This window comes from Homo sapiens, chromosome 13, assembly GCF_000001405.40.
Source record: "Homo sapiens chromosome 13, GRCh38.p14 Primary Assembly".
In the NCBI taxonomy this organism is placed as follows: Eukaryota; Metazoa; Chordata; class Mammalia; order Primates; family Hominidae; genus Homo; species Homo sapiens.
Window position 1 is genome coordinate 95,869,859 of NC_000013.11, and position 20,428 is coordinate 95,890,286.

The following is a 20,428-nucleotide window of genomic DNA, read 5'->3' on the forward strand; positions in this document are numbered from 1 at the left end:
TAAATGCCATTTACTTCAAAATGAAAGAATTCACTGTGTGTCAGAAAGCATGATTAATTAAAAAAAGCACTTATACATGTGTCTCCTGAAATTCTAAAAAACAATTTATATTTTCAGAGAAGAAATGTAAATCAGATTGGCTTCATATTTTTCATCCAAAACACTAACTGGTAAGAAACAATGATGAAGCCTTGTTTCAAGCATTCTGAATAAAATTATAATGCTGTTATTCAATACTTAGGAAAGTTATAATTCATACGGAACTGCAAAAGAAATTTTTAAACCTTTGAGGACCACCTCAAAGTTTTAAACATTTGAGGGTACACCACTAATGTCTCTGAAAAAACTTATTTGTGGTAAGGTGGTGTATATTATGATATGGCAGGCAACATCCCACCTTTAGCATACACTGCAGTAGTTAGAAAGATACACCCATTTTTGTTGTTGTTGTTACTCAACTCTTTTGCAGCTAAGGTTTTGGTTGATAATTAGATTCTGCTAAACAGATAGATACATTTGCATGTTATTTGGAACTTAGAAGTGAGCGGGGCAATGTGCTGATGCCTGCCTAGCTTCTTTTGTCAAGCACCGTCATGGAGACATTGAGGTTTTCTACTTCAGTGTTCCAGTGTGTAACTGCTTAGCTTTCTGGGTACCAAAGGCCAGTTGATGTGTTGCTGGCAGCAGCTTCTAGCTTTCTCTCACTTCTGATGATGGGAAAGTAGCAGCTCTTTCTGGTTGGTCAGTTCCTTGGCTTTGTTCTCAAGCATTCCTAGGATCCAGCCCTCCTGGAGAGCTTGCTCCGCCAGTCCTTCCCAATACGATGTAAAAGCATCCAATTGCTTGTGTTAAATACTTCTATGATAATATGGGAAGTCAGCCATCTGCTACGATTTGAATGTCCCTCCCCTCCAAAACTCATGTTGAAATTGTATTGCCATTGTGGCAGTATTAAGAGGTGGGACCCTTAATAGGTGATTATAGGTGATGAGGCTCCACCCTCATTGAGTGGAAGTGGTGCTACCACAAAAGGGCAAGTTTGGCCCTCTCTTGCTCTCTCTTGTCCTTCTGCCTTCTGCCATAGGGCAATGCAGCAAGAAGGCTTCTGCCAGATGCTGTCCCTCAATCTTTCCAACCTTCCAGAACTATGAACCAATAAATTTGCTCAGTCACAGGTATTCTGTTACAGCAGCAAAAAATGGCCTAAGACACCATCTAAACAAAAAATGAATGTGAAAATTAAAAGACATATAAAAACTGTGATCAATAGTGAATTCATTAAAATTTATATTTAACTAATGGTAATATGAAAGTAAAGAACTAAACAGAATATTGGGGGTAGGGGTAAAAGGATGCTAGAATGCTTCCACTGAAACACCAATGAGATAGCTACCAGACACCGAAGTGAGTATGCATAGTCATCCATTCTCAATACCCTCACAATATGCAGATTGCCCCTCAGAGAGATAAAGCATATAAAAATGTTCAGAAAAGGGATTGTGTGAGATGAAGGCAGAAGAGTTTCCTTACAGAGAGCTGTTGTCAGATTGTGAGTCTCCACCACTACACCCTGTGAGGACGGAAGGGGAAGAGTATTGCCTTCTCATTCTAAACTCAGTAAGGTAGACACTTTAAGGAGAAGACACTTTGCAACACATATTCTGAAGTTGGGATGCACAGAGGACTCATGTCTGGGAAAGTTAGAAGTGTACATGGAGCAGGATTGGGTATTTGAGGACTGTTTTGTTGCTCTAATCGAGGAGTCAGGAGAGTGCTTACTGCCTCTGCAACTGCTCTGAACTAGAGTTTGTTGGGCAACTGATGTCTAGGTATTTCCACAGATCAGATGCAGCCAAGAAGGAGAGCGATTTGGTTTTGTTGTTACCACTGGGTAGTCATGTGTCCTGCCAATATGGCAACCAGGAGGTATGAGGAGACCACACCAACATAACCAGGGAACTAAAGGAGAGTGAAGTACAGCAATAGAGAACTTTTAAGAGTCCGCAGAGAGTGAGTTTTAACTACTGCAGAGCCAGCAAAGTTACGGTGGACCAACTCGAGTACCTGCGGAGAAAGAATGGAAAGCCTTGTTTGACATCTCTGTCCTTCCTCCTACAAAAACATGGGAGAAACAGTTCAGTCTCAAAGGTACCAAACTAAAATTGATTACAAGTGTTACTTTGGCAGAAAAGATTTTTCTAAAGATTTCAAATGAGAAGTCTAGCACAATAATTTGGCATTAAAGGTGCATAAATAAAGTATCTAATATTCTCTACAATTAATTAGGAAAATCTGAGCAGCATTTGTCTAATTTTGGTAGAACTACAAAGAAATAAAGGAGAATAATTTTGAGACTTTTTGTATTCAAGGTAAGTAACAGCCAATACTGAGTACACACAAATAATCTGCAGTTAATGACTACAAAAAGATTGACAGACACAGAAAGTACACATTGTGGGCATTATGCCTCAGAAGTGGAAAGCCAAATTTTAAAAAATCAAATAATTTAGCCATGGCTTTAAAATCTGAACTTAGAAACTCATATCAATATTATTTTAGCTTAGATTTTTAGCAGGTTTCAGGAATATTTTTCCTAATTATAAAGGTAATATCAATTACAATTAAAACATAAATTAGGATAAACAATATCAGTTTTTGTTATATTTTATATTGACCTCGTTAGACTTTTTATTACACAGTAACATGTATTTTTTTTGCATTTTGGATAGCTAGTGACATTAATCATATGTAGAATTAAATTATGACTAAGTATATGGTTTTATTGTTTATAAGTAATACAAACAAGTTTGTAAGTTATTTCTACTGCCAAAAGTTGTCTGTGAATGAGAAAAAACAATTTTCACTAATATGTTAGTGGTACTTCAAATATAACATCAAGAACATCTTTATGAACTGTGTATGATAGAAAATAATAGTAAAGAAGATAAAATAGAATCTAAATCATGTATAGTTTTAGTTTTACATAATACATGTGCTATTGTATAACTGTATTTGTAAAAGAAGGGATAAGTGGAGAGGAAATGGGCATTTACTCAATATTCTACAATGATTTTCCCATTTAGTCCTTAGCAAAACCCCACAAGGGAGGTAGGATTATTCCCTTTTGTAATGAGGAAATAAAGACTACAAATAGCAAAGAAACTTATACAAGATCATACGGATAGTTGGTGGTACAGAAGGGATTTGCCTCACAATTCATATACAGGGCTTTCCCTTTGCAAAACATAATGATGAAACGGTAGTGGCAGATATAGAAATGCTGAATTCCTGGCAAAGCAGTTTGCACAAAATTTAAAAAGCTGAAACAAAGCATGAATGCTTCTTAAAATTATATCTTGAAACCATGGCTTTTATAAGGGTCAATATAAATGTTACAGCCTATTTTGCTCATTTTCTACACTACCATAGCACTCTTTTATAGCACTTAGAACATATAATAGTCACTCATTTTCTTGACTATCTTTTCTACTGGAATGAGTTTTGGGAGGGTAGGAACTGTCTATTTGTAATGGGAATGACACAGCAAGGTAGCATAGGTTGCTGCATAGGCATTAGAACATACCCAAATGGGTCCAGCTGGTAGCCAAAGATAAGAACTTAGAGGTACCCTTCCTGCCTAGCAAACTGGGCTTCTGTTGTCCTGCCTTCCCTTCAAACAGACCAAAAGTGACCCATGCTCTATTCCCTTATATATACTGCTAGTTGCATGCATGCTCTCTCTTTCTCTCTGCCTGACTCCTCTTCATTCTTGCCTGATGTGACCTAGAGATGGAGCCCTTCCTGTCCAGGATCTGTAAGTGATAAATCTTTGAACTTATTTCTTTTTGTGGTGGTGTATTAAATTTGCACCCCCCATTGGAAGAGCCAGGGACTATCCCAGACCAGGTTTTCTCGAGGATGCTGGGGAGAACACAATGTTGGGTTCCCAGTGTCACCGCGATGATCAGGCAAACATAAACTGGACATGGGTCAGACAAGAGCCACACGGACATCTGTCAGCATAAACAAGTTTCCTGTGTGAGGGAAACTGGGTCTGGGGTCAGACAACTATGAATTAGACCATCCACCAGGTAAACGAAGTATCCCATGAAAGGCACACAGTAAACATTCACATCCAGCTGCCTTTCATTCTTCATTAGGGCAAGGTCACTAGCCACTCCAGTACTGGAACTCAATTTGGCTGGGGGTTCTCAAAACAGCATTGTTCAACCGCTTATCTCCAATACTTGTCCTTATTTTTGTCTGCTTATTCCACCTCACCAAGTGATTTCTGTCACTATAGCTTGTATTATCTAGTGTTTTGTAACTTATAAAAGGAGACATGCAGTAGTACAGCAACCCCCACTTATCCACAGGGTATAGGTTCGAAGACATCCAGTGGATGTATGAAACCATGGATAGTACCGAACCCTAAATGTATGTTTTTCCTATACATACATGTCTATGATAAGGTTTAATTTAAAGTTAGGCACAATACTCTTGCCTTTTGTGGTCATTATTAAGTAAAACGAGGGTTACCTGAATATAAGCACTGTGATCCCATGACAGTTGATCTCATAACTGAGAATGCTACTAAGTGACTCATGGGCAGACACCTGACAAAGGAATGATTTTCCAGGTGGAACAGAGCAGGATGGTGTGAGAGGTCATCACACTACTCAGCAGTGCATAATTTAAAATGTAGGATTTGTTTATTTCTGGAATTTCCCACTTAATATTTTTGGACTGTGGTTAACCATGGGCGACTGAAACCACAGAAAGCAAATTCTTCTTCTCCCCTTTTCTCCCCTTCCTCCCCATCCCCTTCCTTCTCCTCCTCCTTCTTATTTTGAGACAGGGTCTCACTCTGTTGCCCAGCCTGGAGTGCAGTGGCATGACCATGGCTCACTGCAGTTGCCACCTCGTGGGGTCAACTGATCCTCCCACCTCAGCCTCCCAAGTAACTAGGACTACAGGTGTGAGCTACTGTGCCTGCCTACTTTTTTGATTTTACATAGAGGTAGGTCTTGCTATATTGCCCAGGCTGGTCTCAAACTCCTGGGCTCAAGCAGTCCTCCCACCTTGGCCTCCCAAAGTGCTAGGATTACATGTGTGAACTACCATGCCTAGCCTAAGTGTAAATTTAACGTTTCTAGGAACTGTCCAATTGTTCAAAAGTGGTTGTACCATTCTAGATACCCAATGGAAGTGAAAAACAGCTCCTGTTACTCCATATCCTCACCAACACTTGATATCGTCATTCTTTTTATAAAGTTAGTCATTTTAATAGATATGTGGCATATCTCGTGGTTTTAATGTAGATTTTCTTAATGACTAACAATGTTAAATACATTCTGTACTTATCCATATATCTTCTTTGGTAGAGTGTCTGTTCAAGTCTTTTGCACATTTTCTTAATCTGGTTATTTGTTCTAATATTGAGTTCTGATAGTCTTTATATATTCTGTATATAAATTCTTTGTCAGATATATGCTTTGCAAAGATTTTCTCCCAGTCTGTGGATTGTCTTTTCATTCTCTTTTTCAGTCATTTACATAAACCCTTTTAGTGTGAATATTAACGCATTCTGCAATACAAATGATGTTTAATAAAGGGCTTTCTCAGATCCTGCTGGGATATACGTCATAATATATGATATGTGTACTGTATTAACTTTCCAAACGAAAAACTTCTAAATTCTAAAACACATATGGCCCTAAGAGTTTTAGATGGGAGATGTGCATGTCTACCCTCTTCCTGGAATGTTCCGTCTGTGGTATGACTAATAACTTCCTATTAATTCTTCAATTTTCTTGAGGTACTATATCATCTCTAATGTCAATGCTGACTTCCTCCTACCCACCTCTACCACAGAACTAAGCATCCCTGGCTCTGTGTGCATAAGCCATCAAGCACATCTATTAACTGACACTATGAGCTAGGCACAGTATAAAGGGGAAAGAGTGGTGAAAAAAAGATACAGTAACCCCTACTCCTATATTATCTTTGTTGAGCACAACGTGTGGTATAATAAAAGGTGCTCAGTAAGTATTTATTGAAAGCAATGAAATCTAGAGATATTTATTAAGGGTATAAAAAAGACTTTATCAAGAGTTGGCAAACTATGGCCAGTAAACCAAATCAGGTTTATGGTCTATTTTTTTAATAGCCCTAAGCTAAAAATGATTTTTACACTTTAAAATAATTGTTAAAAAAATAATTTTGACAAAGACCACATGTGCTCTCAAATGAACATTAAATACTTACTTTTGGCTCCTTACCAAAAAAGTGTGATAACTCCTGCTTTCTACTATGGCTCACTGAAGAACAGGAAAATTTTTGTGCAAAAAAACAATTCCAAATTGAATATAACCCAGGGATAACGGTGTTGTTATATAAGATATAATGTATACCATATTGTCATTAAATGATCAAAATATCAATTATGCTGGTACAGGGAAAAGTCTAAGAGCCTGAATTTGTGGGGGCTGGCCTGGCATTGAGGCTGGGCAATAGCCTGGGGCTTCTGGGGTAGGCCTGGTGGTGGGGTAGGCCTGGTGGTTGGACAGGCTTGGAAACTGAATCTACCAGGCAGATTTGGAGCTTGGGGCTACAGGATCTGGCAGCTCAGTCTTCTGGTACCAGCATTAAGTTGGGGCTGTGAGGCCTACCTGGCTTTGGGTTTTACTGGGGTGAGCATGGTTTTGGGGTCCAAGGCAAAGTCTGCTGCTCACTTCCCTCTACTTCCCCCAAGGGGGTATCTCTCCAGCTGTGCTGTATCAGGTTGAGGAAGGAGTAATGCATGTAATGTAAATTATCCTACACTCTTCAATGTGTCTTTCTTATTTCTGTGCTACACTGCAGTGCTGTAACAGCTTACCTCGTTCCTTAGTTTTTATTAAGGTAGTTTCATGTGTGGAGTGGATAGTTGTTCAAATTGATGTTTCTGCATGGGTATGAGCACCGGAATGTCCTGTTTTGCCCTCTTGCTGATGTTCAGACCTAACTCAGTCATCTTTTTTTTTTTTTTTTTTTTTTTTTTTGAGACAGAGTCTTGCTCTCTGTCCTGGGCTGGAGTGCAGTGGTGCAGTCTGCTCACTGCAACCTCCGCCTCCCGAAGATTCAAGCAATTCTTGGGCCTCAGTCTCCTGAATAGCTGAAGTTACAGGTGTGCGCCACCATGTCTGGCAAATTTTTGTATTTTTAGTACAGATGGGGTTTTGCCATGTTGGCCAGGCAGGTCTTGAACTCCTGGCCTTGTGATCTGCCTGCCTCGGCCTACCAAAGTGTTGGGATTACAGGCTTGAGCCACTGCGCCAGGCCAATCTTAACATTTTAATTGTTGTTTTGATTCTCTTGGTTGTATTACACTAAAAACGTATTTATGTGTAAAAATTTAAAAGCAGCCTGCATAACTCACCCAACTATTTGATAAATATCTTCAGATTTTCCTTGGTGTAACCTCAGTATCCAAGCACCTGGGTTTGCTTTTAATTGAAAATACCCCTTTTAAGATGAGAAAAAAATAATCATTGAGTAATATGACTAAAAACCATCGAATTGCTCATGAATACACGAATGATCTAAGAAAGTATTTATTAACTGTAGAATGAATAAATTCTATAAATCAATTCCAAGTAAAGAGATTTTACAATAACCTGTCAAAAATTATTAAAGTATGATTTTCCCCATTTTTTATTTATCTTATTCAAAGATTCAATTTTGTTTTCTGCAAACTGTTCAGCAACAGCAGAATAAAGATTATTTCATTTTACTCTTAGGAAAACAGAGAATTCACCAAAACATCAAATTAAACACCATCAATTAAATAATACTTACATGATGTGCCATCACTATTGTATCAACCACAGCAGGTTTATTTTTTGTGCCTAGTGTGAACTGCAGACCCCGAGGAGGCTGTTCTGTCACTTTATCAAAGCATTGTCCTTCCAGTAGTAAGTATTCTAGTTCATATTCTGCTGTAACAGTTTTCTCAGTCTGTGGAGGAAGTATGTCATTGTTTTTGGTGTTATGTAAAACTCATAATACAAAATTTTGAAATAAATAAATGTGATTATTTTAATATTGGCCAATGTATTTTGGTGGCTAACTTTAAGTCTTTATTTTACACATGAGTGAATTCATGAGTTGAACTGATTTCTTCAAGACAAAAAGCTTATGATAAACTTTTTCTTTTTCATGACATCAGCTTTACCTGAACCTCATGGTATATGCACCAATATAACCAAGCAGGAAAGACGTGAACATGAGATTTAGATGGGAAATTCCTTAAAGAATCTGCTTCAGTTTGCTGTTGTCCTGAAGCTCCCACTTCAGACTTGGCAAGAAAGCTAACTTACTATCTATTGGCTTTCTTGTAATTAAAAAAATTAATGTCTATAATCAACTAATTATAAATTGATCGATATATTTTTAAAGTTAATTTTAAAAAATAAAAATTCGTTTTCCACTTCCAAAGTGGAAAGAAGAAAAAACAGAACGCACCTCAACAGAATAAACACTGATATAAACATCAACACACTGATTTCTATTTCTTGTCTTCATAAATTTTTTTTGTAAGAAAGTAACCTGCCTTTTCATTAAACATGGTTTTCTAAGAACATGTCTCTGTCTCTATAAATATCATTTTAAATGGCTGGACATTCCAGTTGTTTCTGGATTTTTCTCTATTGCAAATGTTATAATAAATATTTTCAAGATAAAGCTTTTTCTCTACTTCATATGAACAGCATAACTAAACATGAAAATAAATCAAACAGTGATTTTCACAGACAGAATTCTGTTGAGATTAAAGACAGCAATGTTACCTATATCTAATCTTATTTCACCATATTAGGTTTTCAACACTATTGTTTAGTGTGTTTAGGATATAGACTATTTGGATACATTCTGTATTGTATAGTTGTTTTCCTTGACTGCAATTATCTCAGAAATAATTACAACATTTGTTTACAGCATTTCTTTCTTGATTCTTGTTATTTTACTGGTTTTAAGAACAAAAAATAAGTAACTTCTTTGAAGACAGTATTTATTTAAAAAACTTTAGTTGAATTCTGAATTAGTTGTTGAATTACTATTCTAGCGATAAACTTTATATAATTTATTAACCTATATCCAGAGTCTTTATAGCAATTTACTTGACTGGAAAGATTTTCATGGGATAGTCTCAGAATAATATGAGAATGTTAAAAATTAGAAAAAGATTGTAGAGATCATGTAGTTCAACACCCTCACTTTACAGACAAGGAAGCAATACACCAAAGTGACTGTAAAGTAAAGCTTAATTATTTTATTATGAATTAGATACTAGGGAAGAGTCTAAATACACTTACCCAGTTTGTGAATAACAGTATCTTCTTAATTTATATTAATGTGAAAATTTCTCTTGTTCCTATATATTTATATAACAGACTTCAATTCTGTTGACTTATTCAAACCACAACATACAAACATAGCCAATTCCTTTTCCAAAGAGTTCTTTCTAGTGAATATTTTAAGTTTTCATAGAGGTGATTTAAGTTAAATTAGTTCCTATTTTCAAAGCTCATTTATTTATTTATTTGTTTGTTTGTTTGAGACAGGGTCTCACTCTGTTGCCCAGGCTGGAGTACAGTGGCACGATCTCGGCTCACTGCAACATCCGCCTCCCGGGCTTAAGCGATTCTCCCACCTCAGTCTCCCGAGTAGCTAGGATTACAGGCATAGGCCACCACTCTGAGCTAATTTTTTGTACTTTTAGTAGAGACGGGGTTTCACCATGTGGGCCAGGCTGGCCTCAAACTCCTGACTTCAAGTGATCCGCCCATCTTGGCCTCCCAAAGTGCTTAGATTATAGGTGTGAGCCACTGTGCCTGGCCACAAAGCTCATTTTTAGCAAAAATATGAAAGTTAGTGATCTTTTTTGATGCTTATGTTTCCATCTTCCCTTTATATTTTTATTTTCTGTTTTAAATATTAATTGTTGATACCAGACATAAATTTAATACCTTTCAAATATAACCTTGAGAATGTATTAATTTTTTTTTATTATACTTTAAATTCTGGGGTACATGTGCAGAATGAGCAGGTTTGTTACATAGGTACACACATGCCGTGGTGGTTTGCTGTACCCATCAACCTGCCATCTACATTAGGTATTTCTCCTAATGCTATCCCTTCCCCTAGCCCTCTGGCCCCGTGACAGGCCCCGGGTGTGTGATGTTCCTTTCCCTGTGTCCATGGAACATATTAATTTTTCTAATAGGATATTAATTGTACTGTTCTTCTGTGGCTGAATAGCTAAGTGTCTTCCTTTAAGAAAAGGCTAAGTTTAATTATAAAGATCAACATTTGGGTTTGTTAACAATTGTCTGTAAATATGTTAATCTAGTATTTTTGTTGCTATTGAATGTGATTTTGTGTAACTGCAGACACATTTTCCCAAGTTATTAATAGCAAAGCTATAACACATATCTTGATCTGTAATCTAAACTCTGACAAGCTATCTGATAGTGGAGATGGATAAATGATAGTACATCTTTTTCTTGCATCTTATCTCAAGGCAGGTGAAGGCTGAACTTAAAGACTTTAGTGCAATCTGAACTTTAAGAAACTATTCAGGACTCTGGGCAAAAATCCAAGAAAAAGTTAAAGGAATTAGTTTTAGATAATTTGGTGGTTTGAGGCACATAAGGTAGTGTAGTCTTCCTTTATCTGTGGTTTCTCTTTGTACAGTTTGTTATCCTCAGTCAACCATGGTCCAAAAATAAGTGGAAAATTCCAGAAATAAACAATTCATAAGTTTTAAACTGTGCACTGTTCTGAGTATTGTAATAAAATCTCGCATGACAGTGCTTGTGTTCAAGGAACCCTTATGTCACTTAGTGACCCCAAAGCACAAGAGTAGAAGATGATGACCTACTTTTATAATTGTTCTATTTATTATTAGTTACTAAGGTTAATCTCTACTGTGCTTAATTAATTTATGAATTAACTCTTATCATAGGTAGGTATGTATATAAAAAAACAAAACATGGCCGAGTGCAGTGGCTCACGCCTGTAATCCCAGCACTTTGGGAGGCCGAGGTGGGTGGATCACAAGGTCAGGAGATCAAGACCATCCTGGCTAAGACGGTGAAACCCCGTCTCTACTAAAAATACAAAGAATCAGCCGGGCGTGGCAGCGGGCGCCTGCAGTCCTAGCTACTCGGGGGGCTGGGACAGGAGAATGGCATGAACCCGGGAGGCTGAGCTTGCAGTGAGCCAGAGCTGGCAATGAGCCGAGATCACGCCACTGCACTCCAGTCTGGGCAACAGAGCAAGACTCCATGTCAAAACAAAACAAAACAATGTATAAAAGGTTAGGTACTATGTATGGTTTCAGGTATCCACTGAGTGGGTGGGGGTATCTTAGAACAAATCCCTTGTGGATTAAGGGAGACTTCTAAAGTACAAGTCTTCTGATATATAAATTTTCAAGTTTGTTAAGGTTTTGTTTAAATTTCTAAGTTTTGCAGAAGAGACAGAACTCTTCGCTGCAAATGTGACCTTTTCCCAAATTTTGTAAGTGTTTGATGGTTTGAGACATAAATTTCATATATTATGCACTGAGAGAATAAACTGAGCCTAAGATGAACAGTGTTCATCTAATTCATAATACAGTATTATTTAGGATCTATAGCATACCTCTGGCAATCAAACAAATTCTTTCACAATTATATTTGTAATGAATATATCAATAAATAAAACTGATATCAAAATTATTTATGTTTCAGAGGGATTAATGCATTTTTCTGTGAATTCACTTTAACAGAGCCACATCCTATTCCTGTTAGCAATCTTTTATTTATTGCATCTTCTCTTGCCTTTTATGGCAATACCTGGAACAGTGTGAAAATGGTGTAACCACCATTGTTATTCCAGGTATTTTGACATCTTTCATATATATGCTGTGATGAAATATAATTAGAGAGTCTTTTGATGCAGTTCTAACAATAAGCACTGAGAAGAGCAACACATCTGAACTCCAGGTAAAAGTAACTGTCTCACTTTTAGCTTTTTTTTTTTTTTAGACAGAATCTCGCTCCGTCACCCAGGATGGAGTGCCATGGCACAGTCTTGGCTCACTGCAACCTCTACCTCCCGGATTCAAGCAATTCTCCTGCCTCAGCCTCCTGAGTAGCTGGTATTACAGGCACGTGTCACCATGCCCGGCTAATTTTTCTATTTTTAGTAGAGATGGAGGTTTCACCATGTTGGTCAGGCTGGCCTCAAACTCCTGACCTCATGATCCACCCACGTTGGCCTGCCAAAGTGCTGGGATTACAGGCGTGAGCCACCATGCCCGGCCTAGCTTTCTTAATCATTTTTGTCACCTTTAATTATGAAATTAATGCTGGTTGTGCAATAATGTCAATGTAGTGACAATCATGTGAACAAAGTCCTGCCAAGGGAGAATTTTCCCAGATCAAGTTTCTTCCAGGTGTTTGTACAGTGTTTGGGAATTAGGTGTAACCAGGAATATTTGTACAAGTTAGTATATGGTGGTAAATCTCTCATTGTTATCTCATTTTTGCCAGAGTGTATGTACTTTTCCCCTTTATCTAAAAATCCTTTCTACTATACCAAATGCCTTTGTTATTTTTCCAGGATGGTTGCAGAATATTTTAAGTTTGTATAGCACACAATGAAAAAGATGAGCCTGAGGGGTAGTTAACTTTTACAGATGCTAGAATTTATAATCTCCTTTTGTTTATTCACCTAAACTATGAAGACACAGGAAATTTTCCTTCATCCTAGTCTTCTAACTTCAGAGTTAGAGCTAGTGTTCATCCGAACAACTTCTAAAAAGACGCTATTAGATTTGACACTCACTACAAAAAAAAGTTTTAGTTAATCTCCATCAGCTGTTGAATAGCTGCTGAAATTTTCACCAGCAGATTCAATTTAAAATCTTTCTTAAGCTGTACTAATTTCTCCCACTACAAACACTTCACAGTTTTGGATAGCATGTTTAAAAGTTACCTTATTGAGTATATTGCCGCACTCTCTTCATGAAGAATTCCAGACTCTATTAAGAGATCTGACTGATCATGGAAAAAACAGCGATTTTTTTTTTCACTTCTTATAAGATTCATTTGTTAAGTTTTTCTCATTAATGCTATTAGTTTGCTGCCTTTTCTCTAAATTTGAAGGACTGATATTAGAAGATGGTTATGACTGAGTTTTAGGTTCTTTTTTGAGGTGGGTCCAGTTGGGAGTGATGGGGAGTATGTTACAGAAAAGTGATTTAGGATCCCACAGAATCCACATACGAGCCGATCAAAATAAACTTTCCTAGAAGGAAAATCTTTAGGCAAAAGATAATGCATAAGAAGCATGAGAAATAAACATTATAAACAATCTTAACCAAATTATTACAGGTAAATGTTTATGCTTCAGTCAAGGCAATGGCTATATTCTACAGGAGGTATCAGACACAAAGAGCTGGAAATAGGTCAGAGGGAGGACAATAAGGAGAAGGAAGTAAGGACAATAAGGAGAAGGAAGTATTTTTTCCTCATTTTCTGGATACCAAGTGATATGGTTTGGCTCTGTGTACCCACCCAAATCTCATGTCTAATTGTAATCCCCACGTCAGGGGAGGGGCCTGGTGGGAGGTGATTGGATCATGGGGGCAGATTTCCCCCTTGCTGTTCTCATGGTAGTGAATACTCATGAGGTCTGATGGTGTTAAAGTGTGTGGCACTCCCCTCACACTCCTGCTGTCATGTGAGATGTGCCTGGCTTCCCCTTCCACCGTGATGCCATGATTGCTTCTGGAGGCCTCCCTAGCCATGCGAAACTGTGAGTTAATTAAGCCTCTTTTCCATTTAAATTAGCCAGTCTCAGACAGTTCTTTATAGCAGTGTGAAAACAGACTACCACACGTATCTTAAATTCTTCCAAAACGCTTCCCTTTTTTGTGGTTTCTGAATTCCTTTTCTCATTCTAGATTCAACGTTTAAAAGACTCAGTTTAATACTTTCTTTCTGTGCTGTGAATTACAACAGCTGAGGAAGAGAAGTCTGACTACTCACTAGACAAGGGTCATACCGGGGGTGATGAGAAGCAGGTATACCTGGCCTGTAGTATACCGCAAATTTTGTTTCCTACTTTCTACCCTAATTTAGTTAGGACTACTTTCTCTGGCTATGAGCTGTGAGGCCAAAAAAAAAAAAAAAAAAAAACCAACAACAACAAAACAATTTTGGGTGAAATTTGCTGAGTTAAAAACTAAACTTGAAGAGCAAAATAAGTACTTAATGGTGTTGTACTAAGTTGCCAGGTGTTCCTCTCTATATTTTTGACACTGCTCATCTTAGAGAAATGTCTTTGCAAGCTAGTAGTCTCAGGCAAAAAGAAAGAAAGAAAAAATGTAAAGACACCTAGGAACTTGGAAGACTAGAGAAGCTGAGTTTGGAAATTAGAAAAACTTAAAAATCAAAGGAAAGATTGGATCAGGACCTAGAATCATAAAAAAGAATATTCTGGTAAACATTCATAGTATGATTGCTCACTTGCTACAATTGTAATAGCTGATAAGAATTTATCCTGTTTCTCTCTCTTTATATGACTATACACAATAACTTACATCCTTTAAGTGAATATTATCAAGGTCACAGTTGCTGTGCACTGTTTCAACCAACCAGCCTTCTGGAGTAATCATGTTGAGGATTAGGAGGGGTGATTCAGGAATATCCAAAAATTTTGCCACTGGTCCAAGAGAAGAAACGTCATTAGCCCCTGACATCAGTTCTGGTTCCAGAACAAAACGGTAAAAGCTGTTAATAAAACATAAAAATACATAATGTGACCAAAACTGAGATTTTTCTTTTAAAATATTTTCAAAATTGAAAATTGCTTAATGATCTGACCAGAAGTCTACAATCAAAAAGACTAAGATGCATTATACTGCAGAAAAGTTAATGCTTATGAGAAATAGACAATCATTATTTGTTGACACTACTATCTAAGTCTATGTATATTATCTACCATTGTTAACTATTCCTTAATGAACATGATTAGAATCCCTTTAAGATATACCTGACTTATGCAGGTTCTAGGAGTTTATGATCTGTTATTGTATTATGATTTGTATGCATCCTCCTTCAAATCTGACCATGGTCTATTTTTCAGCTATTTTATTAACTTTTACCACCACTAATAATATGAAGAGAAATGGTAGGAAACAAATGAAATTCAAGCTGAAATTCTAGTACCACTTTTAAAAGCTCAACTAAAAACAAATAGGATTAAGTTGAAAGCAACTGCTTAATAGCACTTTTAGACTTAACTTCAGTTTTGCTGTATTTTAACCTCATCCTTCAATATTGTGCACAGAATTATTATGTTATGCTATCAAGGCTAGTGGCTTTTACTATTTTGAGACTGCAGTCAAGGTGTCAGCTGTGCTGTAGTTCTCTCAAGGCTCAACAAGGGTAGGATCTACTTCCAGGTTCTTCTAGTTCCCCAAGGGCTGTCTGAATGAGGACCGCAGTTCCTTGCTGGTAGTTGTCTGCAGACTGCTTGCAGTTACTTCCCAAAAAGGCATCTCCAATATGCTTCAAAAGAGAAGCACACAGAAGAGCCACAGAGAGAGAATGTCAGCAAGACAAAAGTCACAGTCTTTCATAACCTAATTGCAGAAGGGAAATTCCATCACTTTAGCCATATTTTGTTTTATGAGAGCCAAATCACTAGGTCTAGCTCTCACTCCAGGAGAACTTTCAGAGTGTGAGTCCCAGGCAGTGGTGATCACTGGGAGCCATGTTATGCAGATAGACAAAGAAAATAAAAAGAGGAGAAACAGGAGAGAATACAGTCATGAAGTAAATGTTCAAAACAAATTCTTGCTGCAGTGGAAATATCAAAGAAAAAGTATTCTCTGAATGTAGTGAGTAGCAATTTCTTTGTGATTTGGTAAATACAATTTCAGTGGCAAAGAGAAAGTTAAAGAGAAACTGCAGTGGAAGGTACAGTGAATGAGATATGAAGACAGAGTCTGACCATTCTTTGAAGAAATTTAGTTAAGAAGGAATGAAGAAGAGGGAAAAAAAAGACTCTAGAGGAGAGAAAGTTAAGGGAGCAACTTTTAAAAAAATTGAATAACTTTAAGGACTGAATGAAAAAAGCTAGTATAGAGATTAAAGATCCACAAGAGAGAATATGTGATATAGCAAGGATCCAGAACAAACAGGAAAGCATGAGATCAAAACAGAGTGGGAATGTTTAACTAAAAAAGAAGAAAGATGCCTCATTCCTTCCCTACAATACAGGAAGGCTGAGGAAGTATAGCAGTTAAGAGTAAGAAGCTGAGGGGATTCCTGCCCTTAACCTGTCTCATCTCTGAGAAGAATAAATTTACTAAAAGGAAAGGGCTGGGAATAAATGTGTATGCTAGGTTGCTTGATATATGCTACTGAGTTAATAAGATTCTGTTGAACTACTAGTTAAAAAAATAACTGTATACTCTAGTACATTATTTCATTTAGAAAAGTCAATTCTTTCCCTCCCAGTAGATTATGCTTGCTTATATGTTCAGTAATCCTATTCTTTATTACATAATGTGATGTTTTACAGAGAGGACCCCTACTCCTGTGAATAAAAATTCTGTACTTATGGAACTAACAAACCTTTCAATTAGTAGCTAAAAAATTTAAAGTTTTTGTTCAGATGTAAAAAGGCATGTGATAAAATTTAAAATACAAAAGATAAATGAGAAGCATAAAAACTCAATGAGATATATGGACAAGAGTCTTGAGGGACAATGAATAAGTCCTAAACTTTCACTTAAATTTCCCACATTTTCCATTTTATTGCTTTCCAACTATTAAAAATACTTAGGTTTAAAATGCCTGCTCTGGCTGGGCACAGTGGCTCATGCCTATAATCCCAGCACTTTGAGAGAGCAAGGCAGGTGTATCTCTTGAGGCCAGGAGTTCAAAACCAGCCTGGAGAACATGGCAAGACCCCGTCTCTACAAAAATACAAAACAAAACAAAACAAAAAAACTGTGCGTGGTGGCACGTACCTGTAGTCCCAGTTACTCAGGAGGCTGAGGTGGGAAAATCACCTGAGCCTGAGAAGTCGAGGCTACAGTGAACTGTGATGGTGCCCCAGCCTGGACAATGGGAGTGAGAACCTGTCTCCAAAAAAAATAAAAATAAAAATAAAAAAAAGTTCTGCTCAAGGCAACATCTATAGTATGTCAGTTGTAACAAATACAATTTGAAAAGTAAACAAGGAATGAACAGAATGCTACCTGTCTTGTGTGTGTATGCATACATTTTTTGTTTAGAATTACATCATTAAATAATACAGAGATGAGCACATTAAAAAGTCTTAAAAAGCTATACTAGTGCAATGGTACATACCCTGTTTTCTGCCCAATGACACATGAAGGAGAACTGAATATTCCCATCAATAAGAATGGCTCATAATGAATGACAGTGATTCTGATCCACAAAGAAGAGAAAGGGTATATTTTTGTCCCCTCTTGAGAGAGAATGTTATTTCAACAGAAGAGTGTTAATGAGGAATATTTGTATATAATTATAAACAACACTTTTTTATATCTCTGGCAGGTTATTCTAAGCTAATTTTATCCTAATGCCCCCAAATAGTAAATGTGATGATATAATAAAGATCATTTTGGTAATTCTGCTAAACCAAAAATGGTTTAATTCCACCTTATTTCCCATTGATGTATATCTAAATAGGTATTCCTAAATCACATTTCCAAAAATACCTATGAATAAATATAAATCCATGTAAATTCTGTAATTAGGTCAGATCACTTTGCTGAGTTAGGTTATTTTAATTTTTATATCAATTTTAAGTCAGTTAAGGTTAGTAAATAGTCTGACCTTCTGACTTATTTCTTTGAAGCATCTTGTGAAGAAAAGAAAAAACCAGGTCCAGTAACAATGATTGTTTTTTTCTTCTCAGCATTTACAAATTTTTCAAAATGAAATTTTGTTCACTCAGATTTACCTTTCTAAAGGGGCTTCTGAAAGCCTGCCCCTACAGTTCATGAACAACTTTATCTTCATGTTGATAATCTTGCCAAGTACCTATTGGAAAGAAATTCCCATGTTTGATATTAAATAATATTAATAGCTAATATTTATTATGTATTTACTATGTACCAGGTACTATATTAAAACTTTATGTTCATTATCTCACTTGATCCTTACAACGCCCTGCTGAAATAGTACTTTTGCAGTTTAGGTACAGAGAGATTAAGGTCACACAGAAACTCACAGCACAGGCAAGATTTTAATCCAAACAGTTGATTTCAATGTCCCAGGGTTATGCTGCTTGCCCTTTGCCTAAAGTGACTTTTTTTCATAGTATCTAAATTTCCTTAGTATTGAAGAACAAGGAAAATAATTACTAGAACCTTGATCTGCAAATACAAAGTGGTGACCTTACAACAACGTTGGTGGTGTCCTGATTCTTTTGGGATTTGGAAGTTCTTGGCTACCTACGAATAAATACTTTCTTTTCATTTCCCTGGATAGTAAGAAGTAGAGGAAGAATTACTAATTTTGATAGTCCCCATCTCCACATAGGCAACATGTCAGTGAAGATTCTAAAGCTGTTAGATAACAAATGATATAGGTAAAGGGAGAAGTAACGAAACAGATATATGTAATAGAAAGGATACAGGCTTGATGAGAAATTAGAACATAAAGACTAAGGATTTAAGAGATTTGACTTTCAATTCTTATTCTATCACTCATCATATCTGCTACTCTGGAGGTCACTGAACCACTGTTTTTCTCAAGTGTTAGATGAGAAACTATCCATTTCTTCCAATAAATTATCCTTTTATAAAGTAAGAAATAAAGTATGCTATTATTACCAATGATGGAAACTGGAATGCAATTCCATATTTTATATCTCTGTATAATTCCTTTTTTTTTTTTAAGAGACATAGTCCTGCTCTGTTGCCAAGGCTAGACTGCAGTGGTGTGATCATAGGTCACTGTTAACTTCAAATTCCTGGGCTCAACCAATTCTCCCACCTCAGCCTCCTGAGTAGTAACTATGACTAGAAGTATGCAGCATCATGTTTGACTAATTTATTTTTTATTTTTTTAGAGACAGGGTCTTGCTATGTTGCCCAGGCTGGTCTTGAATTTCTCAAGTGATCTTCCTGCTTTGGCTAATTCCGTATTTCTTACTCCTAAATTCTACTTTTATATAAAAAACTTACAAATTTAAGTAGTGTTTTTTGAATAATGACTCTTCATAGGAATAGGGATTTTGCATACTAAAAAGCATCATACTAGCTCCACTCCTTTCAGATATGATTGCTTTCTAAAGAATAATCTGAATAGTGTATCTCAAGACATATAAATTTGAAGGTATAACCAATGCTAAAAGAACAAGTAGGTAAATCAGCTATGGTTTGTCCTACTCGTTTCATAAACTGAACAGCTAGAATGACAAAGTCTTTCCAAAATTATTTGTCTCCACTAATAAAATCTCATTTTCCAATGAGATTTGGCAGTGCGCACTAAATTCTAAAAAAAATTGCATTTTGAAATTTTGATATACAGCGAATCATATGGCTTGATCACTTACATTTTCACCAGACTCAATATCTAATTACTTTTGCCTGTTTCAAAAGTGAAGTTGACTACCAAAGGACAAATAGTTTGTAAAATTTTCGATATCAGTAGCAAAACATACAGCCTTCTAATGGGACTAGCTTATTCAAATTTAACTACTGAAGGCTGCATTCTAATTTGAATGTTTGACATTCTAAGTAAAATGGTAAGCCACATAAGTCCTTTTGGAGACTGATATCTGTCTCTTCGCATTCATTTTCCTCTTTCACAGGGAAAGAATTTCCAGGTTAATGCAGGACTTGTGGGCATAGTTTCCAGCCTCCCTTGTCATTCAGTGTAGCCAGCCTGCGGACATTCTGGTCAGTGAGAAGTGATAGGACAGCATACATCTAACTTTGGGGCTGTGCTCTTATTCTCCCCTTCCTCCTGGCAGAAGTGCAGAGATGATGTTAGGGCCTGACTGGTGATCTTAGGTGCTTCGTGACAGCTCAACAATGACACAGGCAGTGCCTGAGTCCCTCACACTGTGTAGCTGCCTTAGCAACCCCAAGGCAGCCTACACTTAGACCAGGAGATGAAAGAAAGAAACTTCAGTCTTGAAAGTAGTGTTATTTTGGCCTTTGTTATAGCGGCCAAACCTATAGAATACAAACTCCATGTTTCCCCTTTCCTCGGCTTCACTTGTTTGGCTAACATTATTTATTATTTATTACACTTTAAGTTTTATCCAATTAAGCTTAAGCTTCAGCTTCTCCAAAAGCCACACTTCACAACATATGAAAGACACCTGTATTAGTCTTCTCAGGCTA

General features: G+C 36.8%; 1 protein-coding gene across 16 annotated transcripts in view; it reads right to left on the reverse strand.

The window, feature by feature from the left end:
- Positions 1 to 20,428, reverse strand: part of UGGT2 (UDP-glucose glycoprotein glucosyltransferase 2) — a 251,822-nt gene that overhangs the window by 68,279 nt on the left and 163,115 nt on the right. For 9 of the 16 annotated variants that reach the window (XM_011521097.2, XM_011521096.2, XM_011521094.2 and 6 more), the window contains 5 exons: positions 18,034 to 18,113; positions 17,415 to 17,495; positions 14,633 to 14,822; positions 7,840 to 7,998; positions 7,421 to 7,506 (listed from right to left, as the gene is read on the reverse strand). In XM_011521097.2, coding sequence (XP_011519399.1) covers positions 7,421 to 7,506; positions 7,840 to 7,998; positions 14,633 to 14,822; positions 17,415 to 17,495; positions 18,034 to 18,113 — 596 coding nt within the window. Of the gene's footprint in view, positions 1 to 7,420; positions 7,507 to 7,839; positions 7,999 to 14,632; positions 14,823 to 15,419; positions 15,603 to 17,414; positions 17,536 to 18,033; positions 18,114 to 20,428 lie in introns of those variants that run through there. The other 7 variants (XM_047430471.1, NM_020121.4, XM_017020662.2 and 4 more) reach the window with 3 other exon arrangements.